The following is a 27,907-nucleotide window of genomic DNA, read 5'->3' on the forward strand; positions in this document are numbered from 1 at the left end:
ATGGGGCCTAAACCTGACAGTTTCCTCTGCTCCAATAAGCTGTAACCAGAGAGGTAGGGCCTGAGGGATACTGCCCACACAGTGAATCTTCCAGGTCTGAGCAGATTTCCCAGGAAAGGAGTCCTGGGCAGAGCAAAAAGACCATGTGGAGTTTCAACCACACTGGTTGAGTTCCATTGACAGACGACTTGGATCTGCAAGGAAGAGAAATACCGGGATACATGAAAAATTGGGTCCTGGGCTCATACCATAGAATGTGCACCAGTATAAAAAAAATTATAATTCAAGGGGAACAGGCTCTGGGAGGTGGAATTGTGGGAATCATGGCTGCAGGCCAGGTTGACAGGTGCCTTGAGTAGATGGAAGTCAATTGTTCTGCTAATAATTGAAGAAGCATTGGTTATATTTATAAGAGATCTGGCTAATGCATTCCCTTTGGCTACTTAGGGCTGTGATTTATTGGCAGCAAAGTTACTTAGAATAATAAAACCCCCAGGCCTTGTGGCAAACTGCTGAGATTTTTCAAGAAGAAAGGGACCACTTAAAGATCTCAATTGGCTTTTCTTGAGTGAATGATATCCTGAGGAAGCAGGTTTCAAATGTGTCTCCATCATTCACACCCTTAAGAAGAAAAACGAGAGAAATAAAAAAAATGCTACATTTATTTCAAATATTTGACAAGTTACGAAAGTCCTGAAACAGGTTTCTAAGAACTACAACTCCCAGTGGACACATGTTCCACCATCCTTTTCTTCCTTTTTTCTAAAAGCTTTTAATTGATTGAGAAAAACCGGTTCAAATATCAGTTGATTTGAATGCATTATTCAATAAAAGGAAGAATATATGTCATTTTTAAAAATAGCCTTTCTTCTATACAACTGTGTCCACCTGGGCTATGGCCTTTCTGTTAAACTTTTTTTTTTCTTCCTAAGCAAATAAAATCCCAAAAGTTAAAAAAAAAATCCTAAAACTTTGTGCATAACCTTTGCCTGCTGAAGAAGCACACGCTGGCAATGACAGGGCTCAAAGCAGCCTCGTTCCTCTGGGTCACAGACACAGCAGGCAGACACTCAGCCACAAAGGCCAGACACTTGAAAGCAGAGATTTAAGAAGGAAATCAGTTGTTCTTCATGTTCAGAAAAAAATAAAAGATGTTCTGAAATAGAAAACAAGAAAGAAAAAATAAAGCAGTCTATTCTCAGGCAGTAGCACCGATTACCCAGGAAGACCTCAACTTATATAAACATTGAAATCTTTGAAGTAAATGAAGATAAGCTGTGATGGTTAATTTTATGTGTCAAATGGACTGAGCTAAGGGTGCCTAGCTAGCTGGCAACACATTATTTCTGGGTGTATATATGAGGATATCTTTGGGAGAGATAAGCATTTGAATCAGTAAGCTAAGTAAAGAAGATTATCTTCACCAATGTGAGTGGACATCATCCAATCTGTTGAAGGCCTGAATAGAAGAAAAAGGTGAGGAAGGACAAATTTGCTCTCTGCTTGAGCTAGGACATCTGTCTTCTCCTGTCCCTGGATTTCAGCACTGTGGCCTTCAGACTTACTCCACTGGCTCCTCTGGGTTTCGGGCATTCAGGCTTGGACTAGAACTGCATCAGCTCTCCTGGGCCTCCAGCTTACAGACAGCAGATCATGGGATTTCTCAGCCTCCATAATTGTGTGAGCCAACACTCATAAGAAATTTCTTTCTATATGTCTACATATGTCCCACTGGTTCTGTTTATCTGGAGAACCCTGACTAATATACCAGTCAAATGAGAAATGCAAAGGCTATTTCTTTAGATTTTACTATAGCAAGGGAGTCAGCCCATCACACTTACATTTGGCAGAGATTCAAAGGTAGGCAGAGGGGTGAGAAAGCTTCACAACAGAAAAAAGAGAAGACTTCACATATGTCCTGATAGGCATGGGGACACTGTAGGCAAGTTAACTAGAAGCAAAGCATCCTATATGGTTGGTCCTAAGTTAGAAGTGGGGGCAAGCATATTTTTTTTCTCTGATTTGTTCTAAGTTAGAGGTGGGGGCAAAAATTAGGGATGCTGTCAATTATTAATCAAGTCCTGGCCATTTTGTGTGAATTGTTACAGAAGTTATTGTTTATCTTTCTGGATTATTTCTAGAGATGGCAATATGGCTTCCTGCAAGTCTGATATACTTGTGTAGCAGGCTGGCTTCCTGTGTTGTTTATTGTAGATAAGGGAATTGGTTTCCTGGGCAGGTTGCTGCAGCTTGTGGGCCAGAGTTCTATTTTTATATGTGGTCTAGCCATTGTCCATTTGTACATTCAGTCTGTTGTCTTTCAGATAAAGACAGATAGCTGTCTTGGAGCAGCTGACTGATAGCCAGCAAGGTGATTCCAGTATTTCTAGAGAGCTATTTTGGGACAGCTAATTCCTCTAGGCCACCTTGCCCAGAAGTGCCTAAGGACACACTTGCCTAAGTGAGCACATCCCTCTGAGCTCGATGCCCCAAGATGGCGAGGAAGGAAGGGAAGGATAATGGTGACGCTAGCAGTGGGGGCCTAGAAGGAGGGGAGGGAAGTAGTGCTCAGTGGTTCTCAGCCCTGGCTCTCAGAACTTTGTGGACAGCTTTAAGTAAACACTGATGCAGCAGCTCCGCCCCACCCACCAAAGATTCTAATTTCATAAAGCAGGCCTGGGCATCAACATTGTTTAAAAACTTCCCAGGTGATTCTAAGTTGCAGCCCAGGTTGGCAGCTACTGACCAAAATGAATAATGTTTCAGAGACACTGGGAACAATATTTAGCAATTAGTGAAAATGAAATCAGGGCATGCAGCCACAACCACTTTCTCAAGAAGCCTCCAGTCTTGCACTCTTGTAGCATTGCACTTTAGAAATATAAAACGCAGAGTGAAGCTGAACTAGAGTAACAAATAGGCAAAGGTCATAGAAGGTGAGCCCACAACACACAATAAAAATGCCACAGGATCTGAACCACAGGCATAGTGAACAAAGGAGTACACTTAAAGCTGCTTCGAAATGACTGAAATTCTACCTATTCTGAACAGTGGCCTTCATTTTTATTTTTAACTATTAAAAAATTATTTCCTCCTTTAAAAAATGCTGTTTTATCATAACCTTTTATTTCTCACAGATTATGTATGATGCATATGTGTTTCCAGTCTGTCTAAACTTATACATTTCTCAAATACTTAAAACAGAATTCAGAAGAGTTGCACTTGGAGTATATAAACTCCAAAACCTCAAAAGAAGCACGCACACTCTATATACCTGGTATCCATCTTTCATTTCTAGTCATTTCTAAATTTTTGAATGTACCAATGTATCTGAATCTGATACAACACCACCCCCTGGTGGAAATCTATAGAAAAGAGCCCACACTTGATTTTACTTGAGAATGTTAATACTGCAAGGAATGATTATGACTGCATAAAACACTGGTGGGCTTCTCTCACTGTCTACCAGCAGAATGTTCTCTGCAAACAAAATCATATGCAAGTTCTGAATGAACGCAACAGTAAAGCTGTAGCTGTGCTAAGAGCTTTCTCTTTCCCACACTTTCATTGGCAACCCTGTATCTCACTCAGGATGTCCAAAATATAACTTACTGTATCATTTAACAGAAGTCGTCTTCCCCAAATATTAAAATTAAATCCATTTCTCCTCAAGCCTTTTTTTTTTTTTTTTGAGACGGAGTCTTGCTCTGTCACCCAGGCTGGAGTGTAATGGTGCGATCTCAGCTCACTGCAACCTCCGTCTCCCGGGTTCAAGTAGCTTCCCGAGTAGCTGAGATTACAGGCACCCACCATCATGCCCAGCTAATTTTTGTATTTTTATAGAGACGAGCTTTCACCATGTTGGCCAGGCTTGTCTTGAACTCCTGAACTCAAGTGATCCACCTACCTCAGCCTCCCAAAGTGCTGGGATTGCACCAAAGTACTGGGATTGCAGGCGTGAGCCACCGTGCCCAGCCTCCTCAAGCCTCTTTACTTCAATACCAGCACTTCATTTTCCGTCCACCCAAGCTCTCTAGAGGATTCACAATACACGTGCACACATTAGAGGCTCTGAGTAGGCCTGAGTCAAAAAACAGGTTAAATTCATTTAACTCAACAATTCCAACTCATTTTATTGTGAGACACATTCCCCTCCTCCCCAATACTTCTTAACAAACTGCGGAGTACTCTGATTATATTTCATTCAGAATGATTGTTCCACCTTAATTAGCAAATTAGTTCTTTGGCTGCACATGCTGTTCATCTTCAAAAATGCTTAGGCAAAGCCAACCATACCACAAACCAGCTCTCAATCATTTACAGTAATGGAATGTACAACCCCTAGGTGTTTGACCCCAGGCAGCTATTGAATTGATATGACATACATAGGCAACTTCATCTCTGTCTCCTACCATCATTACCAGCTGAGGGGAGGAAAAGCTTGCTGCTAGTACTAGGAGCAAGCATGCTTTGTCTTCAATTAAATGTAATAATCCAGCACTGTGTGAGCACAATGTAATTTTATTTAGAGGAATTATGTTGCTGACTTGGCTATAACCTAAGAAGATCACAGGCAGCTCTGCAATTGACAGTGATTTAAATGTTTTCCATACATTATCTCCTCCTGTGGATTTATAAGCCAAATGATATCAAAATCTCTATAGCTTCCAACATTCATATAAATCTGCATAGGTCCTTGGACATCAGTTCTAAATAAATTTTACTCTATAAGAAGTATTTTTAACAAAAAATAGAGCTTTATGCCCTATGCCATTAATGCTGGACTTCCTAAGTAAGCCTACATGTTGCATCATTTCTTTTGTTGTTGGTGTTTTTTTTAGAGGTGGGAACTGGCACCTCTAAAAAATGTTACCCAGATTGCACTCAAACTCCTGGGCTCAACAATCCTCCTGCCTCAGCCTCTCAAGTAGCTGGGACTATAGGCATGCCACCGTGCTCAGCTTACATGTTACACCACTTCTAATGTTGAAAACAAAGAAATGTCTAATTAAACTTTCATGCAGTGGAAAAGTTATTTGAACCTGTTCTGTGCTTTGATCAACAGTCTCTCAGTCTCTTTGCTGTCATTTTATGTCATCTACAGGTTTGACTTGGGAATGGGGGTCCTGAGGGCATGGACACACTCGCTCACCAGCCTGGCGGCCTCCAGAGCAGTGCCCCAGTGCACTGAGATGCCCCCACTCCCATGGCCATAGTGGTGGACTACAGGCAGCCTCTGTCCATCTCGCGCAAGGAGCTCTGTCTGCAGTCGCACGCCTGGCCTGTAGGGCCTCAAGCCCACCTTCTCCCTGATGTTGCAGGCTCCGTGGAGGGAGGGCTCCAGAGCACAGCATCGGGAAAGAATCTCTCTGCTATTTTCTGCATCCGGGGACAGATTCCAGTCCCCTTTTTGCCTAGTTCCACCTAGGGTTACATGGGATGTACCAGGATAAATATATGTCAGCCCACTGCCATCTCGGATAAAATGCTCCACCCAGGGAGCCTGAACTTGGAGGACTTGGCCCCTTACAGGGAAAATCTTTGAGTCTCCTGCAAGCTGTCTGCTTCCAAGGCCTGAACAGTTGACCACGATGTCAAAGGACGGATGAAGTTCCCACAGGTCTTCTATTCGCCGAGTGAGTGTCCAGCCTCCACTTCCCTTTATCCTACGGAAGAGAGGCCATGAAGTGAATATTTGTTAGCGACCTGATCAACTACTTCCAGGAAATAAAGAAAAGGAACCCAGGAACAAAAATTAGGTGATGATCTGATGAACAAACACCTCAGGAGCTTCCAGGGCCCAGTCAGGCCAAATTCTAGCCATCAACTGCTTCACATCCTAGGAACTGGGGATTTCTAAAGTTGAATCTAAATGGAAACCACTTGAAAATTCAAAACAAAGGAAATTATATGCTTTGCCCTTTTAAAATTTTGTAAAATTCCTACATTATTCTAGATGCTGAATAAATGCCAAGTTGATTTGGTATTTTAAATGTCCAAGCATTTCTTATTTATACCACTTATTTAACACCTAAATTTACTACCTTAAACATTTTATCTCATATTGTTAACTCTTGCATGATCCTTTGTATTAGCCTGGTCTCCCTAACTAAAAGGTACAGGGGTCATATCCCCACCAGCTTTATGTCCACAACTATGTTAGCACGAGAAGAACACAAAATATTTGTAGCTGATGAGCTAAATGGCAGCTGTGGTTGGTAATTACTATATTTTTTGGACCAACTATATCAATAGTGAAAAGAAATGGTTTATCCAGTACCTGTAGTCTTTATTTAAATCAAGGTAAAATACACTTAACATAAAATTTATCATTTTGACGATTTTTAAGTGTAAAGTTCAGTAGTATTAAGCACATTTACCTTGTTGTGCAACCGCCATCACCATCCATATGCACTATCCATCTTCAGAATATTTTTTTTTTTTCTGAGATGGGGTCTCACTCTGTCACCCAGGCTGGAGTGCAGTGGCGTGATCTCAGCTCACTGCAGCCTTGACTTCCTTGGCTTAAGTGATCCTCCCACCTCAGCCTCCTGAGTAGCTGAGACCACAGGTGTGTGCCACCATGCCCGGCTAATTTTTTTGTATTTTTGATAGAGACAGGGTTTTGCCATGTTGCCCAGGCTGGTCTGCAACTCATGAGCTCAGTCGATCCACCTGCCTCTGCCTCCCAAAGTGCTGGGATTATAGGCATGAGCCACCGTGCCTGGCCTCCAGAACTTTTTTAATCTTGCAAAATGGAAAGTCTACCCAATAAACAATAACCCCCAGGACATGTAATCTTATTCACAGGTCACTTGTAGAATAGAGAAAGAGACTATCAGCAGCTCTGTTCAATAGACGCAGGCCGAATGCTTGCATGCGGGGCACTGCTAAGAGGGACCAGAAGGGTGTGAGTGACAGTGCCCTTCGTCAAGGGCTGACAGAGGAACTGGCAGACAGAAGTGTAAATGCTTGGCAGAATGGACTAAGTTCTACAGGAGAAGTGGTGTGAAATCAGAAAGCCTGGCTTTATATCCCAGCTCTGCCTCACATTAGCTTTGAGCTCTTGGCCAACTCACCTCACTTCAAATCTCAGTTTCCTCATCTGCATCATGGGGAGGATACCTCCCTTGCCTGTCTCACAGGATGGTTGTGAGGTTACAATAAAATAATGGCCACAACTTTGAACAGTCGTCAATCACAATACATCTTAGAGGACCGATATCAATAAATCACGAATTCCTCAAGGGGAGAGACTGTATCTTATGTTTCTTACCATCCCTATGACCTAGCTAAGTGCCCCACACCAAGTGGACTGGAAGTAAGTGTTAGCCAATACTAAAGACAATATGAAATCCTGGTTTGGACCTGCTATGGTTAATTTATGTGTCAACTTGATTGGGCTATGGGGTGCTCAGATATTTGGCCAAACATACTCCGTGTATTTCTGCAGAAAGTGTTTTTGGATGAGAAAAACATTTAAATCAGTGGGCAGAGTAAAGCTAATTGCCTTCTTTAATGTGGGTAGGCCTCATCCTATCAGTTGAAAGCCTGAATAAAACAAAAAAGTTGACTCTTTTCCAAGGAAGAAAGAATTCCTTCGCTGGACTGCCTTCCAACTGGGACATTGGCTTTTTCCTCTTTTTGGACTGGAACAAAAACATTGGCTCTTCTTGAGTCTCAAGCCTGCTGGCCTTTGGACTAGAGCTACACCATTGGCTCTCCTGGGTCTCCTGCTTGCCTGCCAACTCACCCTGCCGATCTTACACATCCTATTCATTCTTTTTGTCTGGAGAGAGATACAGGGTGGCAGAACTTTGGCATCTTCTCTCTCTGACTGCCGCAATCCAAGCCGTTTCAGGGAGAAACTGGGAAGGGCTGACCTTGAAAATGGAGGCAGAATGCTTGTATCCTGCATGCCCCTAAGAGAGCAGAAGTGATCATCACAGCAGTTCTGAGCGCTATCTACTTTCAAGGCCAGATAAACAGGTTTAATGTGAAGGAAAATAATAAAAAAGACAGAAACTTCTGCAATGGTGGTCAATGATGGCATGGGTTTGACAACTAATTTTAACTTAGCAAGGAGGGACTCTTTGAAGTGATTCTAACTTTCCGCCCCACTTCCTGGTTGGAAAGTTTAACTGCAACTTGTGTTAAGATCAGCAGAAAACTGGCCTTCTGATGCTGGATTGCATTTCTAGAAAATGTCTCATGTTCATGGTGGTGCATGCCTATAATTCCAGCTACTCAGGAGGCTGAGATGGGAAGATCCCTTGAACCGAGGAGGTGGAGGTTCAAGCCGAGATCCCGCCACTGCACTCAAGCCTAGGAGACAGAGCAAGACACCAACTCAAAAAAGAAAGAAAGAGAGAAAGAGAGAGAATGCCTCACGTTGATGAGCATGGAAGAGACCAAGATTGCTACTCAATGGCATCTTAGACCCTGACCCCAATAGCTCAGCTTCCTATTCCATCAAGTACAAGCCACAGGCTGTCATCTCAGCATCTTTGCAGTTCTCTGCATCTGACTGAAGGTCAAGCTGCTGGGCAGAGCTCCATCTGCTCAGTCTCTTCACACTCCCTCCCTCTGCAGAGACCTCTGAAGTATGTCCACCGAGCAGTTTCAAGAACAGTTTGAAACCTCTGGATTAGACTCACTGATTATTCAACAAGTATTTGTTGAGGGCTTGTACTGTGCCCAGCACCCTTAGGAGGCAAGAAGAACTCAGAGGCTATGCTTGCTCTGAGATCACATGAACCTGCACTGCACTTCCTATTAAATGCAAGCTGCATTGCCAGCATCAATGCTTCAAACAACAGAACCTAAATTCGGTTGCTTTTTATTCTAAAAATCCAAGGAAGGGAGTATATTGTTTACCTGAGACAAGGAAACCAAAGAAAAGAATCTGGCAAGCATCTACACTTTGGGGCCACAGAGAACCAATAAAGCCAATGGATTACTTTTTGATGTAATTAAAAGTAGTTAAAAGAGAGAGAATGAAGCTGGAGCTACTGTTTTGTTTGTTTGTTTGTTTGTTTGTTTGTTTTATAAGTAAAACTGTTCATAGATAAAAAGTACTAAATATAGCAAATTTTATGGGGACAGATTGTTTTTGGCTCTCTCAGTAAGAATAACCAATTTAGAAGCTTAAATTATGTTCTTAAACATGTAATAATAGATAAATGTTTTTAAAGGTAAAATAACTGTAAAGGTTGTTTTTCCCCTTAACATTGGCATAGAAAGAAAAGTAAATTGGAGTTTTGTAGTAATACTGAGCAGCATGTTTCTGTGTGTTTATAATCTTCCAAAAAGTGAACACGAAGAAAAGAACTTTAAAAAGAGCTTAGGAGGCCTCTACCCTTTACCATTCATATGACCTCGGCCAAGTTATTCCACTTCTCTAAACTTTAATCTTATATCCATAATATGGGGGTAGTAATACTGACTCTCTAGGCTCGTTGTGAAAATGAAATGAGACACATCTGGAAAAAGCATAACACTGTGTCTAACACACTATAGCTGCTCAATAAAGACCTTTTATTTTTAAAAAAGTGCTTAGGGGTTTTTCATGCTACTGTAAAATACAAGACCCAGTGCATTATCTATGTGTATTCTTATCCTCCATACCTGTATATCACTTATGTTTCATTAAGGATGATATTTCAATTTTGAAAAGTTTTAACTGATCATTATTTGAATATTATTTTGATTTTGTGGGTTTTTTAAATTCTTACATTGTAGATTCCATGTGTTAATATTTGAACATTATGTTCTGTGCTCTAGATATCCTAATTAATTAAAACTCAGAATTATTTTCATAATTTGGGGGAATAAGAGAATCTGCCAGCCTTGGGATATCAGCAGATTTTTAAAACTCACTGAAATTGTTTCCTAGGGATAAGAATGCCTAACTTATAGGGTTTTTATGATGATTATGCAAGAATTCAATAAGTGCAAATGTCTTTTCTTTTCCATTTCAAGGGTTCCCTGCTGGTCAAGCTACTGATAAAAGTCCAACTTGTGCCTGGTGACTTCTTAAGCTATCCTAGTGGCTGGGCCTTGTCAGGCTTCCTGTGCTGGATTGCTCCCAGGCCTTGGATCCCAGAGGAAAACTCACTAAATGTGCCTGGAGACTGGTCACCTTTATGTTGTTGTAATGCAACCACATAGTGATGCCCAGTCATTATTATGTATCCCATGGGTAATGCATAAGATGGCACCAGTGCATAGGAGGAAACTGTACCCAAAAGTCAGATGTTAAATTAGGTGACCAAGTGCCTACCAGGCTGCTTTTATGACCATATGAGGTAGTTATTCTGGAAGTTTGGGGTGACATGGTTGGAGGTACAAGAAGCATGATGACTTTCCTCTTGGGGCTTCTTGCAACTGAGCAAGACCTCATCCTGGAGAGAGAGAATACCATTGTCCCAACCTCCCATGAGGAAATAGGGTTAGGGGCACTCAAGAAGCAGGGCTCACGAAATAGCCCCAGCATCCTCTGGTCATCACCCTAAAACATGAGAGTGTCCATTTCCCCAAGCTTAAGTTAGCCCTCTGCTGGACTGCATCAACCTGACCCACAAACAAGGAGGATGGTCATCCTCAGCGCCTTTCCTTCACCTCACTGGGAGTTTCAGCAAGGAGGTAAATTGAGTTGGCTGTGCCCCTGAGGAAAATAAGGGTCCACTAAGCAAATCTTAAATGCGTACACACACACACACACACACACACACACACACACACACACACACTTGGCCTCCCAGGAGCAGAGTCCCCTCATCCCCTCTCTGCTCTTGGAATCAGAGGCAATTCCCATACTCCACTGAAGCTGAAGCCATGGCGAGAAAGGAATCTCAGGTAGCACTAAACAGGGAGGTGGGGGCTGTGATGCGGACAGCCTGTGGCTGGCAGCGGGGACAGGGGAAAAGACGAGCTCCTGGTGAGCTCCAGGGCAGACATGGCTGGCTAATGGGGCTAATGATGGTGCTGAGGAAGCCAGTTTCTTTCACAGGCATTGCTGTGAGTCAGGCCGAGCAGGAGAACACAAGATACAGGAGAAGAAAAAGATGGGCATTAGAGGACTCCCCCAGAGAAAGTTACAGAGAGGCCTAATCAGAGGAGGGGCGAGGAAAGTACAGGGCAAGTAGCTCAGTGTGGCCAGTGCTGCGGTCAGCATAGGGCCTCCTTGGGGACACAGGATAAGGCATGGCCTCTTGGAAAGAGATCAACGTGTCCATGTTACAGGGCCCAGCACAGAAATGGGCCACCCAGTTTCCTGAATGTTGTCAAAGGCAGGACAATCCTGGTCCCTCTGGGAGGATTGATTTAGATGGGCTGCCTGGAGGAAGACTTAATGCCTCGCTGACTCATTTCCTGGAAGGAGCCAGTAATAAAGCAGCAGAATTTAACTCCACTGGCAGAATATGATATGAAATATGACCTGTGTGGGTGATTCAAACTCTGTGGGGTTTTTGTTTGTGTTTCTTCTGTATATTATTGGGCATTATTGTTTTACTTTTTGTTTGAGAACAAGATGATCTCTTCTATCTTTTGAAAAATAATAAAGATCTAATTTGTAGCACAAAATTTTTTTGTGGAAGTTTGTATTATTTCAGAAGAATCGTGCTTAAGCTGAAGCCATTGCTGTGTGGCTTGCTGAGCAAATGCTTATTTTTGAGTGAGAACACTGAAGGCTGAACACTCACATTGTGTGGAAGAGGCGTAGGTGGCAACAAAATAGACCCTGAGTGTGAGGAGCAAACAGAGATTGTGTGGCGTCCCATGTGGGTCGCCTGGCGGGAGGTCAGTGGGTGGCAGCCCAGAGGGAGCCCCAGGTGTCGCCCCCTCACCGGGACGCGGCCCTCCCGCCCACCCCGCCTGAAATGCTCGCCCTGAAAGGCCGGACTTGGGCTGAGAGGAGTCCCGTGCTGCAAAGCCTCCTGAGGGAGGAAAGGGGACACGTGGCCTTGTTCCTCCACCAGCCTGGTCGGACGCAGGCTCCGGGCTGCAGGGAGCTAATCTGCATGGCCAGGGGCCACCGGGCGCTGTCTGTGGAGGCCCCACACCGGGGTCAGGAGGGAGCCAGGTCTCAGGAGCACAAGGGAGTGAGGAGCAGAGGCTCTGAAGTCTTCCCGCCGCAGCACACCCTGTGCCTTCTGTCTGAGGCACTCACATCTCAGCCGCCTTCCTGGCGGGCACGCGTATCAAACAAACGGACTGAAGAAGGTCTCCCCAGGACTCGGGTAAAAGGGCAGCCCTCGGTCCTCTCCTCCCCGCTGCCCATAACCGACCCACAGCCGGGAGGCGGCGTATTCCCAGGCACCGCCCCCTCCGCCGGTCTCCGGCCGATGGCGTTGCCGTCCTCGCAGCCCCAAGCCCCCTGGCTGGGGGTCATTTTAAGTGGCGGGAAATGCTGACCGCAGGCCCGCAGCCCAGGACGGGGTGGCAGGGTTGACCCAGGCCTTCCTGCCGCAGTCAGGGGTCAGGTCTGAAAACACAGAGATGATGGAACTACGGGGCCTGTCTTCTAGAAGGCGATGCTTTGGAAGCAGGAAGAAGACATTGTTCAGATAACATTTGATTCGGTGTGGAAATGACGGGGGCTGCCCGGAGCTAAAACACTCTCTCTCGGAGTAGTGGGAGCTGGGAGGGTGCGCAGGAGCGGGCCGGGGCGGGGACTGGCGCCTCATCACGGGCCCGCGTGGGGACCTCCAGCCCCCGCAGAGGAGGACGCTGCCCACGAGGCAGGGCGGCACCAGGCCAACTGGGAGACTTATGAGGACTCCTCAGAGGAGGTGACTGTGTGCTGGGGGGAGGCTGGCGTCCCTGCCTCTGCCCCCTTCTACAGTGACACCTCTTCAGGTGCCCTGGGCCTTCATGCCCCCTCCCTGCCCCATCAGAACTCTCCTCATCTCCCCAGGGCCTTATCAACAATTTGGCCCTTAAAGCAAAATGAAAGCAATGAGCCCTCTCTCCCAGGAGGAGTTAAGCATTTGCATTTCACTTCTAGACTTTAGAGCCAATGCTTCAATGAAAGCTTGGGCCCGAGAAAGTTTGTGAAGAAACGCTTCACACCGCCTTCCCTGATTACCCATAAGCTCAAGGCTATCACTAGGACTCAAAACTTACTCTGGCTCATCTGAGCCGCACCTTCTTTCAGCTGGGCACCCAGAGGACCCCTGTCTGGCCCTTCTCCAGCCATGCTTTCTTCTTGAGGCAGTGAGTGTGTGGGGCTCGGGCATGTGCCCAGCCAGAGCCCTCTCCCTTCACTTCCAGCCCGTCTTCTGGGGACCCAGGATCCCCATATTCCCTGTCCTCTTCCAGGACCTGCACTGTCTTCCTCCCGGGGGCAGACTGTGCCACTGTGTGCACCCCGGAGCCCAAGGAGTGGCCAAGGACAACTGTCTTCAGGGAAGATATGGATAGAGCGAGGGTGCTTCCCGGCATGCTCCTGGGCCCCTTTGCTGCCATGTGAAGATGCAGGACTCTTAGGAATCTAGAAATTCTAAATGTCAACTTGGACTTCCAGGTGGTTGTGGTAGAGGTGTGTTCTTTAGCTACACCTCAAATCAGGATTTACATTGCAACAGAGTGAAAATTTCAGGGGACAGAGGAAAAGAGAAAAGACAATTTCTTTCTGCACTAAATTCATAAATTTAAATTGTGGCATTGCAGCAGGTTTGTGTTAAGGGAAAGGTGGTGGAAAATATTCATGAAAAGAAAATGTTTTTCTTCTCCAAATTTGGGGTGTGTGGAATTTTGTTGTGCCCCAAAGTAAAAAAGTGCTTTAAAAAAAAAAAAAGCAAATCAAGTGAACATATCAAAAAGACACAAGAGCAGTTTGAAGGGGCTCCTACTCAGCTAATCTTGGACAATTTGAACATCAAAATGATGGGGGGGATAAATTATAATCCATTGAATAAAATAGGTACCAATGAGTTCATCCTGATATAAATACATATAGGAAAAGGAAAACTTCTTTACAGTAGAAAGCAAACTATATAGATGGAGTTATAAAATGATCACTTGGAAAATATCACAGTAATAAATAGTTCAGGCAAAAATCATCAATGGATGCTAAAACTCGTAGGTGAAAGTACTACTTTCATAGGAACTCGTTTCATGGGAATAGGATATTTACATAGTTTCAGGTATATCACAACAAAATATTTAGTAATTACAAAGAGAAAAAGTAGTAACCTCACAGTAGAGATAACTGGCATTCTAGGTGATGAAAGTTAACAGCCCCAATAAGGGGATAAACTGATATCATCTTCCTCCTGCTATGATGCAATAAGGATTCAACATTACTTCTATGCATTCTCACCCCAACATGCAGGACCTCAATCCGATCCCGAGGAAACATCACACAAACCCCAACTGAGGGACATTCTATTATATGAAACAACTGGTCTGTACTATTCAAGCTTGTAAATGTAATAAAAGACAAAGACAGACTGGAGACTAAAGAGACATGACAACTGAAGACAATGTGTGACTGTAATTGGATCACGGACTGGAAAAAATTATGTGTTGTGTGTATTTATATTTACATGTGGACATTATATGGACAATTGGCAGAATATGAATAAGGTCCATAGATTATAGTGTTGTATCAATATAATGATATTGATTTTATTATACTACTGTGTTTATGTAAGAGGATACCCTTGTTCTGAGAGCAAGTATTTAAATATTTAAACATGGGGCCAGGCACGGTGGCTCATGTCTGTAATCCCAGCACTTTGGGAGGCCGAGACGGGTGGATCACCTGAGGTCAGGAGTTCGAGACCAGCCTGGCCATCATGGTGAAACCCTGTCTCTACTAAAAATACAAAAATTAGCTGGGCGTGGTGGCAGGCACCTGTAATCCCAGCTACTTGAGAGGCTGAAACAGAAGAATCACTTGAACCCGGGAGGTTGCAGTGAGCTGAGATCACGCCACTGCACTTCAGCCTGAGCCACAAGAGGAAAACTGCAACTTACTTTCAAATGGTTCTGAAAGAAAATATGTATAAGGAGTAAAAAGAAAGCGAAAATAATGAAGCAAAATGTTAGGAATCTGTATGAAGAGTTTGTTAGAGTTTCTCTACCTCCCTTAGCTCTGTGTCCATTACCATCCCTAACACATACCCCTGGCCATCCCCACGCAGGAAAGCCCTTAATCAGCCCTTGACCATGTCTCTGAGGGAGAACAACACTCTTAGGTTCTCACTCATCTGCCTCTCCGTGATCTGCTGGAGACCACAGGGCTCCAGCCAGGTTTTCTAGAAAGCTTACTGATCATTAAGACAAAAATCCAAGATGAGAAAGCCACACAATGGACTTGGTGGCAATAATGAAACTTCAGCCCAAACCACTAATAATACCAAAAAAAGTTAAACTCCTTAATGACACCTCACCTTTTATCACAATATTTTGTACATGTTCTTCCATTTTGAGCTCTTTTTGAGTCATAATCTAAAAATGTTATGCATTGTATTGAAAGGAAACTCTGCCATTTTTTGCCATGCCTAATAATTTCCACTTACCTAAATTTTATTTTATTTTATTGCCTTTTTCCACATGTTTTAACTTTTTTTGTTTATTTTATTTTATTTTATTCTGGATTTTATTAAGATAAGTTATATGATGCCTCAATTCCTTATCACTAGCATCAATGCTTCTAATTTTGTATTTCTAGTCATTTTTAGAAGGGGGAAAATTCAACACTACACACTATTGCCACTCAGGAAAGATGGTGATGCTGCTAAAATTTGCTTGTTGGCTGGTGGGCAACTCCATCATGTGATAGCTCAAAATATACGTTTATCAGCTGATGTAGACAAGTCCAAACTTGGCATATGAACAGTGGTTTATGGGCTGGTGAACAAGGCCAGAAAAGGCATGGGTTTTATGAAACTAGAACTTACAGAAGCAAAATGTCCCATATAAATTGCTAAGAGGTAAAAGTGAGAAGAGCACTTGAAAAGCTACAAAACTAGATTACGATGCCACTGACATGTGCCTAGCAGATCTAGGCTTCCTCCTTTCTGCTCCCATTCTAACCTGCATAAGTCTGTACTTTATTTTACCATGTGTGTTACCATCATTGTTAATTAATATGCAAACACATACACACACAGTCATCCACAATAGACCATGAAATTATTTTAAAAAGAAATCATATTTTATCCTTCTTTTTTACCAGCTTCTAGCATAATGCCAGATATATATAAGCGTTCAACAAAAGTTGTGTAATTAATGAATTATATGAATCAATTATCCTATAACCTACATCTGGTACCAGATCACTGTTGCCCTGGCCTACTTCAAGTCACTTTCCCAACATTTACACAATAATTCACATCGTTCCTATTTACCAAAATATACACATATGGGAATTGAAAGGATCAATATTTCACAACTCTCAACATGCCTGCAAGTCCAGACTAAACTAAAGACAGATTTACTGATGTATCTCAAATGAAGATACTCTTGATGTGTTTCCTAACTGGAAGCTAAGTACTAGTTTCCTGAAAGTCCTGAAAAGTAAGCCGAAATGCAAGTTCAAGGTATCACGGGCTGAACTTAATGAGGAAGGAGTGACATAATTTGGATAGGTCCTTAGTTTCAGAGTTCTTATTTAAGACAAAAGGAAATAATGAAATTTTTTTGCTTTACCAAAAATGAGAAAAAATTCAAAAATAATTTATAATAAGCAAAGATTCTCTCGTCCAAAGAATTAGAGTAAATCATATCATTCTGTAGCTGGAAATATATTCTCCAAACTGTTCCATTTTACAGATGAGGAAAACTAAGATACTGTTTCAATAAGAGGGTTTTACCTGGGGCAAGAAGGGTAGGGAATAAGTCAGGCATCGAAGTGCACACCAAAAATAGAAGACAAATTACTAGAAGCATGGTGTGACTTAGTCCTTGTGACATAAACACTGTCTTCAGATTGTTTTACAAAGCCCTAGCCATTTGTGAGTGGCAAGGCAACGCGAAAGAGCTCTGAGGGATGCCAGAGACTTTTCAGTATGTATTTTATGAATAGCTACGAAGTGATTTATGGCTATGACAGATAAGGAAATATCAGGGAGCATTTCAACTGACCTTTTCTCCAACCACGGGAGGTAGGCAGGGCATTCACATTTCAGGGTTGTAAAAGCCTGACCAAACACATACTGGGGGAATTTCTTCAGCTCAGCCTCAGTCATCTTTCGAAATCCCAGAACCACGTCAGCCCAGAATGGCACTTCTTCAGTCGGAGTGCTCTGAAATATCTGCCAACTCAAACGTATTAAGTGAACATTTTTTCCTGAAATTTGTGAAATAACATATTTCTAGTAAACTTCACATGACATTCTCTAGAGCATTTATTTTATTTTATTTTTGAGACAGAGTCTCACTCCATCACCCAGGTGGGAGTGCAGTGGCACAATCATGGCCCACTGCAGCCTCAACTTCTGGGGCTCAGGCAATCCTCCCACCTCAGCCTCCCGGGTAGCTGGGACCACAGGCGCTTGCTACCACACCTGACTAATTTTTAAAATTATTTGTAGAGCCAGCGTCTTACTATGTTGCCCAGGCTGGTCTCAAACTCCTGGACTCAAGTGATCCACCCACCTTGGCCTCCCAAAGTGCTGGGATTACAGGCATGAGCCACTACAGCTGGCCTAGAACATTTTAAAAATTTAGTTTCTATAAACACAAAGAGAAAATGATCTATTTTACTATTCTCTTAGGTTCAGATAACTCAGTAGCTAAATAGCAGATGTTGGTGACTGGGCAAATAAAACATCTTAAAAGTAACATGCTTTTTAAAGATGGAATTTAATACTCCTTTTCTAAAAAGCTCCTGCCTAGATTTGGTTGTTAACAAGAAGGCTGTAATAGTACTACTAATAGCTGCTATGCAAATGTTTAGATTTGTAAATATTGGGTTGTTTTCATCAGTAAATGAATAAATGTTATAATGCCAGGCATGGTGGCTCACACCTATCTATGATCCCAGCACTTTAGGAGGCCGAGGGGAAGTTCGAGACCAGCCTGGGCAACAAGGTGAAACCCTATCTCTACAAAAAATACAAATATTAGCTGGGTGTGGAGGCACAAGCCTGTAGTCCCAGCTATTGGGGAGACTGAAGTGGGAGGATCAACTGAGCCCAGGGAGGTCGAGGCTGCAGTGAACTGAATTGGACCATTGCGCTCCAGCCTAGACGAGTAAGACCCTGCCTCAAAAAAAAAAAAGTTATAAATCATCATTGCTCAAAAATAGCAAGGAAAATAATCTGAGTGCTAAGCATAGTTGCTAATAATTCCCCCATCGGAATATGTATCTCTAGGTAATTGATTCAGAGCAGTCCCCATGAAGACACAAATGTCCTTTACTGCAGGGTTCTGTGCTGGCCCACTCTTGCGCTGGGCTAGCTTGCCCTCTTCCATATCTTCACCATGACCTACAGGCCAGACACTTAGAAGGCTACATTTCCAGTCCTGAGCACTTAGAAGGTTATATCTCCAGTCCATTCTCTCTCTTGAGCTCCAAAAACAGATCCGGACCCATGTTACCTACTCCCCACTAGATAAGTCCACTTAGAAGTCTCATGCATTTACACACACATGCACGCATGCATGCACACACACACATCCACTCTTTTCCCAATCCTACCTAACTCAGAAAATGGTACCCATCCATGCAGGTGCTAATGCCAGAAACCCAAGAATCATCCTTGATTCTCTCTCCCTACTCACCTCTCATACACCATCAACTGACAAGTCCTATCAAATCTCCCCTTAGGCATTTCTCAAGTCCATCTACTCTCTGTTTCTACAGTCCACACCCAATCTATCTCATCATCAACTCTTCCCACAAATCTATTCTCCACACTATAGAAAACATATTTTTGAAATGCAATTATGACCAGTCACTTCACTGTGTAAACTCCCTCAATGGCTTCCCATTTCTCTGGACTTCCTTCAGTCCCTCCCACACACCACAGTCGCCCTAGACTCAGGTCTAGGTGTATGCTGTTTCCTCCACCTGGAATGCTGTCTCCTTCGTCTCCCACCCTGCCCCGCCCCCACTTCACCTCTACAACATCACCAGACTAACTTACACTCTTCCTGATGGTCTCGGATGAAACACCTTGATCTGGATGGCTTCTCATCACTTCCCAGAGCAAGTTTCTTCTCCAGACATATGCTTCCATAGCACCCTAGCCTCTTCCTTTTGGTAACTCATGTCCCAGTGAATTTGGTAACTCATTTGATTTACTGCATTCCCTAGAGACCATAAGCTACATAAGGGCAGGACTGTGTCTTCCTTAAAAATTAACTCAACACATATTTGTTAAGCATATGCCAAGTGGTATTACTAAATTGCTCACTGCTATATCCCTAATACCTAAGAAAGAACCTGATACTGAAGAATGCTGAATATGTTGTTTTGAAGGAATAAATAGATGAGTAAGGCTATATACTTACGCCAAAGATGCACAGGGGATTTTAATTCTGGACATGGCTGTTTCCAAAAATTACTTAGAGCCAAAATTTGTGAATTAGACGGACTCATGTTGGATTTGGACAAAGAGTGTGACCGTAAATCAAAGAAAATGTTTTTTCTACTTGGCTCATCAACTGGCTCCAGATTTAGTTATACAGAAGAATCAATCCATAGATTGATAGGAAAGCAAAACTGCTACTTTGGGGAGGGGCTTTGGGAAATTACTGACATCAGCATCATCTTGGTGTTTGTGATGGTGAGGAAAAACAAGAAGAGAAAAAGGGTAGAAATTCACCCAATGCAAGTGTGTACACTAGACTAGCAAAAAACCCCAGTGGGCAGCCTGACATCAAAAGAGGAGATAAGACACATTTTTTCAGAAGGCCGCAGAAAGACTGTGTTATCACACAGGATAACACATGTATGTTACAAGTGTAACATGCACCAATGACATGTATGTTACATCATATGATGACACTGAGAAGTAAATTGAAAGTGATAGAATATTAAGTGATCTCAGTTTAAGAAGATATTAAAAGATGTCATGTTTTAAGTGCTCGTCTTACTAATAGAAATGTCAAATAGCATTTATTCTCAAATTTTCATTTAATTATGCATGCCTACTGAAATTATACATTAAAAATGAAATAGAAGTGTGCTAACAGTTTCAGAAATATTTTTTTCCACATGGCACTTCAAAAGGCAAGTTTAGTGACCTACAAAATTTCCTTCTTTGGAATATCTCATTCTCCAAGGACACCGAATAAATAAGAAGTCCCTCTCCCTTAGGTCTCTGCAGCCATCCCAACATCATACCTGTTTGCTTTCCATCGGCTGTACCATCCCCACATCACCCAAATCCAGCATTTACCTCCTGCGTGTTTTTTTAACCAAATTTGCAAATCACTGCATGGTCTCTGAGGAAACCCAAAATCAATCGTATTTGTGATGAGAAACTCTGATTGTTGTTTATTGTTAAAAAGTCTAATACCATAACTTGTCTTTCTTCAGTTCTTTGGGGTAAAGCCTATAATGCTCTTTCCGAATCCTCCTGCATCTAAGTCAGCACTCTGCTCACAACAGCTACTCAGTAAATATTTTATGTTGAACTCTAATGCCTGTTAAGATCATGCTACACTCTAAAATAACTTCAAATTTCTTCACTTACCCTGATACCAAATGAACACCAGCATCTCCAGCTTCTGCAGAATTGGCAATTGCAAAGAGGTGATTAAAGGTTTCTCTGAACCACTGCTTCTGCGTGTGAATGGGTGTATCTGTAATCATGGAGAAAAGCAAAGTGGAACAGAAAGGAAAATGATGATAATGACAGTGCTTCAAATAAGCTCCTTCCTAGAAACTTGGAAAAAAAATAAGGAGGCAAAAATAAAATAAGGAGGCAGGGAGGAACATTAATATAAAGTGCCACATTGTGGCAGAGGATCTGTCAGCAACAAGAGATTTGCATGTTGACACATGCTGTCCAAATCTGCTCATATGATTAATCAATGGAGGGAAAACAGGCCAATAAGGGCAAAACCCGGCATGCGAGCTAGTTGGAAGGTGGTTTTTGGTACTAGGTATATTCCAGAGGTCCTTGGCAGGTCTATAACCAACCTGAGCAGAGCTTAGTTCATGGCTGTGGGATCCAGCTGGCCACACAGTTGAGACAATAGGACCAAGGACAGAGGGCCTCTTTCTTGGGGGCTGAAAACATAGTGGATGACATGGGCAGGTCTGTGGGGCCCAGGCCAACCGGGACAGAGAACAGACTGCACCTCGATGGGGAGTTCCAGGGGCTTGCCTCCTGGTACAAGGAAACAAGGCTTGCATGCTGGAGGCGAGCCCCCTGCAGGCCAGACTTCCCAGCAGGGGCTGCCATTACCTTCCACACCATGGAATCAGGTGCCAGCCAGAGTAGCACTCCTGAAGCCAGCAGGGGCGTGCAGGGACCATACCATCCCCCAGGCACCTCTGCCAGAGCACATGGGGTTGGACCCAGACACAACTTTTGGAAGAGTGCCAGGCCTGTTGGGGAGGAAACAAGAGGCAGCGTTTAAGCCTCAAAATAAGTGTCCAGTGTAGGCACAGAGACGGCAGGAATGACCCAAAATCACAGACAAATCCAGCTGTGGTTGAAGTATGTGGCCGTCTGATTCCTGTAGAAGGATCATGAGAGACTGGCTAGGGTTAGGCCAGGGACCAGGGAACAATAAGCCTCAGGGGCTGCTATGAGGGAAGCCACAGAGGAGATGAGGGAACTGAGGCAGAGAGGATGCTAAGTTGGTTCCACTTGGAGAGGTGTCCCTGAAATTCAAGGAACAGATAGAAAGATCTTTGGAGACATCCTGCTTCCCAGGTGAAGCCCCCAGGTCACTGAAGTCATGTCAGTAGCGGGATTTTCAGACAATTCGCTTGTTATAGAGCCAATAAATATTTCTTTAGTAGCGAATCTGTACTGCCATCTTTAAACATGTGCCCATGTGAAATTAACACTATATTCCAAAATTTCACAGTGGGGATGCTGCTTTAGAAATAAGGAATAAATAAATAATAAGCTGCAGAGAGAACTAAATTTGGCCTCAAATAGACTTTACCCAACAATCTATGCCACTGTGTGAGGTTGTATTAAAATGCAACTCCCTGTTCTCACCCCAAACCTTAAAAACAAAATAGTGGCTGAGATTCACATGCTGCAGAAGTCATCCCAAAGAACAGACAATTCCCATCCAGCAGTGGGTCTAGGAAGCCTGATGACCTAATTCATGTTCAAGTCCTGGTAAAACAGAACTATAGCTGGAATGGTGAGAACAATAGCAAATGCTGATATAGCACTTACTATGTGCCAGGTACTGTTCTAAATGCTTTACATGTATCAACTCATTTAATCCCCACAACAACCCTATGGGACAGGCATGGTCTCCATATGGTATTGACATTTATGAGCACAGGAGATAGTTATGACTGGGGCTCATCTGAATAGTGTCTAGGAAAGAAACCCAAAGAGAAGACCAAAGTCTTTATCTAGCAGCATCACAGAGAGAAAAACCCTGGTCCAGGAGAACCAGCCACCTGGCCAAAGAGACAGTTCTGGCCTCGATGGCCCTATGAGCCCTCAGATGAGTGACTGTCTTTGAGGGATGATTCCATGACTAGCTGGCAGCCTTCTGAACACTCACTCAGGCCTGGTACAGGCAAGGGAGAGCCTGGAAAATGGTCCCAAGAACTCTCGTCACAAGAAAAGCACTTAGTGTAAGCTGGTGTATTAGTCTGTTCTCACACTGCTAATAAAGACATACCCGAGACAGGGTAATTTATAAAGGAAAGAAGTTTAATTGACTCACGGTTCAGCATGACTGGGAGACCTCAGGAAACTTACGATCGTGGTGGAAAGGGAAGCAAACAAGTCCTTCTTCACATGGTGGCAGGAAGAGAAGAATGAGAGCTGAGCTCAGCAAAGTGGGGAAAGCCCCTTATAAAACCATCAGATCTCCTGAGAAATCACTCACTATCATGAGAACAGCAGCATGGGGTAACTGTCTCCATGATTCAACTACCTCCCACCAGGTTCCTCCCACGACACGTAGGGATTATGGGAACTACAATGCAAGATGTGATTTGGGTGGGGATACAGCCAAACTATATCAGCTGGCATCTGGTGGATACACCAGGTGCCTGTGTTTGTTTCCTGGGAGGCAGTTCCCAGGAGCTGACCAGCCAAGCTCCTGGACCTGCAATGCCAAGGTCGCTGCTATTACCACCCTAATAAAAGATATGTCTATTCTTTCTTAGGGGTCTTTGGACTGGAAAACACAAAGCACCAGCAAAGGCAGGGATGCCGTGCTGAAAAAAGGAGTGTTAAGGAAACACATGCAAACTGGATGCTAGGACCCCAGCCTCTTCCCCTGTCACCTTCTCAAATGCCAGCTGGCATCCGGGCCTTCATCTTCCCCAGGCAGGACATGGAACCCTCTTCCCTGGGAAACAGGACCCGCCCAAGAAGAAAAACTTAAACTGAATGACATCACAGATGTCCCCAAATAAATGGCCCTGCCCTCTTACTCCAGTGAGCTCACTGGCAACAAGCCCTGTGCAAACACTCAGAAATTCCCATCTGCTGTTCAGGGTCCACTCATAAACATCAGCAGACAGGTAAAGAATACCACACGGCCAAGAAAAACCTCTATCATGAAAAATGAGAAAATCAAAAAACAAAAACAAAAACCTCCCACAATTTGGAGATGACAGATACTCAGATACTATTCAGGGAGAAAGTTTTTAAAAACTGTTATTAGTATCTTCATAAAGATAAGAGAGGACATTGCAATCTTCTAACACAAATAAGATGTTATAACAAATGAAAATTCGGAGAACAAAAAAGAGCTTTGGAATATTAGAAATGTTATAGTAGAAATAAAAAATTCAATAGCAAGGTAAAAGATAAAACTGAGTAAGTCTCCCAGAAAGTAAAATAGAGAGAGATAAATAGGAGGGGGACAAAGCTAAAAGAATTGGAGGACCAGTCTGGGAGGTCCAGCATATTAACTTTTCCAGAAAGAGGGAAAAGGACTTCAGAAGGGAGGACGGTTTAAACTATGGGCATATATAACTTTGATAAAAAATAAAAAATAAAATTAAAGAGGAAAAATAGAGTGGAAATGAGGAAATGGGGACAGTGAGTATAAACTTCATTACTGCAGCGTGATTTTGGTTTCTATTTAATGCTATTTTCTTCCTCCCCCATTTCAAGTGGAAAATACAGAAAGGAAAGGACGCATGGACATGTTCAAAAATCAATGCATTGGTGGGGCATGCCAGCAGATTACAGGTGTGAGCCACCATGCCCCACCAGTGGGAGGATTGGGAGGCCAGGAGTTTGAGACCAGCCTGGTCAACATGGCAAAACCTTGTCTCTACTAAAAATACAAAAATTAGCCGGGCGTGGTGGCTCATGCCTGTAGTCCCAGCTACTCAGGAGGCTGAGGCATGAGAATCTCTTGAACCCCAGAGGTGAAGGTTACAGTGAGTCAGTGAGCCAGGATCGTGCCACTGCACTCCAGCCTGGGTGACAGGGCAAGACTCTGTCTTAAAAAAAAAAAAAAATCCATGCATCTTCAGGTCTTAATACATATTAACTAATTATGATTGACTGATTACAAACATATTGATAATTGTTCTTATACAGGCTTAGAAGTTAGGATAATTTTAGTTCCCTTACAAGTAATTTCTGACTTGATAGTCATTACTGTTATCAGTGGAAAGACAGAGCCGCCAATCATGTAGTTGTCAGTACTGTTCATCCCATGCTTCTGCTATCCATCTTCCGGGAACTATAGAATCACACTTTCTGGCCTCCTGCTGAGGGTGGAGACATGTGGCCTGCTCTGCCAATGAGCCATCATCAGAAGCGTTGAAAGTCGCTTCCTGTCCAGAGTGTTTAATCACAGAGGCGAGAACCTCAGAGGTCCCCTCCCCTCCGCCCCTGGGCACATGCGCTGATGACAATCAGGATGACAGCTGCTCCATCGGCTTAGGTCCCTGATGACAAGCTGGCCCCTTGCTGATGCTCAATCCACATGTAGTGTGAGCAAGAACAAACTTTTGCCTTTTAAGCTGCTAAGATTTGGATGTTGTTTCTGTCCTGCAGCATAACTGAGGCTGTCCTAAGAGATGAACCAACAGGATGTTAAAACCGCACATTATGGCCAAGCATGGCGGCTGTAATCCTAGCACTTTGGGAGGCCAAGGGGGATGAATCGCTTGAGGTCAGGAGTTGAAGACCAGCCTGGGCAACAAGACAAGACCTTGTCTCTACAAAAATACAAAAACTAGCCAGGCATGATGGTGTGCACCTGTAGTCCCAGGTACACGAAAGGCTGAGATGGGAGGATCACTTGAGCCTGGGAGGTTGAGGCTGCAGTGAGCCAAGATTGCACCACTCCACTTTAGCCTGGGTGACAGAGTGAGACCCTGTCTCAAAAAAAGAGAAAAAGAGGAAAGGAAAAAGAAAAAAACCTGCATATTACACTTACACCTATAGCCAGCTGTCTTTTGTCAATAGAATTCCACTAACATCATTCTATCTGACATCTATTGTATCTGATAGAGGAGCTGAAATCTCTCACCTGGATAAGTGTGAGGAATAAGCATTCCGGCTGCCACATCACTGGTGGTATCTGGAGTAAACTTGTCTGAAATGATGGTAACGGAGCATCGGGGCACCAGTTTGGAGATGCACACAGCCGTGGAGAGCCCCACCACACCTGCCCCGACAACTGCAATCCGTGCTGTGTCCATGAGCCTGTGAGGAGGGAAATGGGAGCTATACCCCTTGTTTTAAGGATTTTCCCATCCAGACAAAGTTTGGTCTTGACAGTTTTTTCCTTAGGTCTTCAGCCACTCAGAATAAGACTTAGCCTATTGGTGTTTCTTGTGAGATAAAGAGGATAACCCCATAAGCTCACTTTCCATTAAATATTGGTGTATAAGCAACAAGATCTCCATGGGCTTTTAGAGAGTAACACAAAACTGGCTTGGATTTGCCTTTAGAACACCTAGCCAGTAAGTAGGTCTGCATTTGGAGGAGTTTTCTACTCATTCTTCACCCTTCCCTTTTTTTTCCCCCTGAAAGGGGGTCTTGCTCTGTTGCCCAGCCTGGAGTACAGCGACGAGATCTCGGCTCACTGCAACCTCCGCCTCCCAGGTTCAAGCAATTCTCCTGCCTTAGCCTCCTGAGTAACTGGGATTACAGGTGCCCACCACCACGCCAGGTTAATTTTTGTATTTTTAGTAGAGATAGGGTTTCAGCATGTTGGCTAGGCTGGTCTCGAACTCCTGACCTTGTGATCCGCCGGCCCCAGCCTCCCAAAGTGCTGGGATTACAGGCGTGAGCCACCATGCCCGGCTTCATCCCCCTTTCCTAAACCATTTTCCCTATGGGCACAACCTAGGGAAGGTTGACAGAAAACCACAGAGCTGTAGTCTTTGCTCCCAGAACTACCTGAGGAGCAGTGGTGAGGGGCATGACCCATGAGCAACTCAAAACTCAACTCTGTCTACAAAGTTGTTTCTAATAATAAGGACATTACAGAAAGTTTCAGCAGCTGAACTCAGTCTCCTCTGCCATCTGCCACTGTCACCGGCCCCCTGTCTGTCCTGGACAGGTTCTGTAACCTGAGGAGCAGTCCGTGGTCTCCTAGCCTCCACTCCCTCATCTGTAACACAGAACAGATGGATTACTTGCTCCTTTGGGTGGTAAATAAGAGAGACCCAGTGAGGCGGTCTCATAAAGGGGGCTCCTTGGGAGAGTCTGAATGGAAATGCAGGGGACAGACATCCCGGAGCCCGGGCCAGGTGTCCTGAGGCTGGCACCCTCTGTCCCACCCCTCACCCACGGAGCCTTGCTCCACTGTCAGCATCCCCGCCTGCCTTTGCTTCCCTGTTTTTGGCTTTCCCCATCTGTTCCTGCTCTGACTCTTTCTGTATGGCTCAGGTTTAAACTCCAGAGAGAGAAAATGCAGTTGTACCAGTTGGTCATTGCATCCCCTGTTGGACAAAATTCTAGCACCAGGCCAACTTGCTGGGCTAAACCAGCCTCTGAATGTGCCCTTGGCATAGTTGCCCTTCTCTGTCCAAAGCACAGTAATCAGGGTACTGGGCCACATGGTACAAACCATGGCCACCCACACACAGAGGTTCACCTTTCCTCTGGAAGGCTGGGCAGCTTCCTCAGCAAGGGCTGTTGGCAGGAAAAACGTGGGCTTGGTTGTTAGTGGCCTCTGCTTTCTCTTCCAGTTCTGAAGATTCTCGCACTATGAGACTTTAAAGCCCTCCAATGAAGTTTAGTGTGATATTCCTATTCCTCGAGCAGTCTATGCATTTCTGTGCTAATTTGATACGTTAATTTGATTGCTGTACAGTGGGCTGGTCAGCTGAGAGAGAGTGGGCCTGCCAGGGCTGAGGGAAGAGAAGGGAACGGGCCCAGGCCAGAGCAGTCTGGTGGGGGCCAGCTTGAGTAGAGCTGTCCTGCAGCCACCAGTGACCTTATTGACTTCGCTGTTTCACATCAGCCTCCCATGTCCAGCAACTCTCTCAAAACAGCTCTAATAAACTAAGTTGAAAGGGCAAGCAATCTGTGGCTAAGAATAACCAGCTGCCAGGGAGGAGGAGTGAGCGAGCAATGTGGTGTGTCCTGGCACAGTGGCCTGTCCATCACTGTCCCCTGACCCTATTCAGACACACTCCCAAACTCCCAGAGCATGGACGGAACGACCCCTCAGCTGAAAGCAAGAATTCAAGTACCTGTCTCTGAAAAAGCAGTCTTGGAAGCCACCAAAATCTCTGGCACCAAACCTTGTTTCCCAGTGCCTGGCTGGTCTCATGCCCTGAGAGACAGAGAGAAAGCGAAACTGATTCCCA

The 27,907-nt window shown here is 44.1% G+C and overlaps 1 protein-coding gene across 9 annotated transcripts, besides 2 other annotated features; it reads right to left on the minus strand.

The window, feature by feature from the left end:
• Positions 1 to 644: 644 nt before the first annotated feature.
• DDO (D-aspartate oxidase) lies at positions 645 to 27,899 on the minus strand. 9 transcript variants are annotated; one of them, NM_001368172.1, is made up of 6 exons: positions 27,791 to 27,899; positions 25,615 to 25,790; positions 20,658 to 20,766; positions 17,098 to 17,274; positions 5,531 to 5,666; positions 645 to 1,156 (listed from the first exon to the last, which is right to left on the minus strand). In NM_001368172.1, the coding sequence occupies exons 2-6, from the start codon at positions 25,784 to 25,786 to the stop codon at positions 1,118 to 1,120; spliced, it is 633 nt and encodes a 210-aa protein (NP_001355101.1). In that variant the 5' UTR covers positions 25,787 to 25,790; positions 27,791 to 27,899; the 3' UTR covers positions 645 to 1,117. The 9 variants fall into 9 exon arrangements, 8 of the variants coding, with proteins under 8 accessions (NP_001355101.1, NP_001355102.1, NP_001355099.1 ...); NM_001368170.1 differs by lacking the exon at positions 645 to 1,156 and adding an exon at positions 22,834 to 22,901 and having other exon boundaries at positions 4,108 to 5,666; NM_001368173.1 differs by lacking the exon at positions 17,098 to 17,274.
• Positions 20,898 to 21,399: an enhancer, noted in NCBI's record as "H3K4me1 hESC enhancer chr6:110729777-110730278 (GRCh37/hg19 assembly coordinates)". NCBI's record gives its function as "activates a minimal SCP1, AML or CMV promoter by ChIP-STARR-seq in naive H9 embryonic stem cells {active_cell/tissue: H9 hESC(naive)}" and the evidence as "EXISTENCE:reporter gene assay evidence [ECO:0000049][PMID:30033119]".
• Positions 21,400 to 21,899: an enhancer, noted in NCBI's record as "H3K4me1 hESC enhancer chr6:110730279-110730778 (GRCh37/hg19 assembly coordinates)". NCBI's record gives its function as "activates a minimal SCP1, AML or CMV promoter by ChIP-STARR-seq in naive H9 embryonic stem cells {active_cell/tissue: H9 hESC(naive)}" and the evidence as "EXISTENCE:reporter gene assay evidence [ECO:0000049][PMID:30033119]".
• Positions 27,900 to 27,907: the final 8 nt, after the last annotated feature.

Source organism: Homo sapiens, chromosome 6 (genome assembly GCF_000001405.40).
Source record: "Homo sapiens chromosome 6, GRCh38.p14 Primary Assembly".
NCBI classification, from domain to species: Eukaryota; Metazoa; Chordata; class Mammalia; order Primates; family Hominidae; genus Homo; species Homo sapiens.

Coding starts and splice junctions, on each gene's coding strand:
- DDO (NM_001372108.2), bottom strand. CDS start 25,786: ATGGACACAGCACGGATTGCAGTTGTCGGGGCAGGTGTGGTGGGGCTC. Junction 20,767..25,614: donor TATTCCTCACACTTATCCAG/GTGAGAGATTTC, acceptor CCATGATTACAG/ATACACCCATTCACACGCAG. Junction 17,275..20,657: donor GGTGTTCATTTGGTATCAGG/GTAAGTGAAGAA, acceptor AATACGTTTGAG/TTGGCAGATATTTCAGAGCA.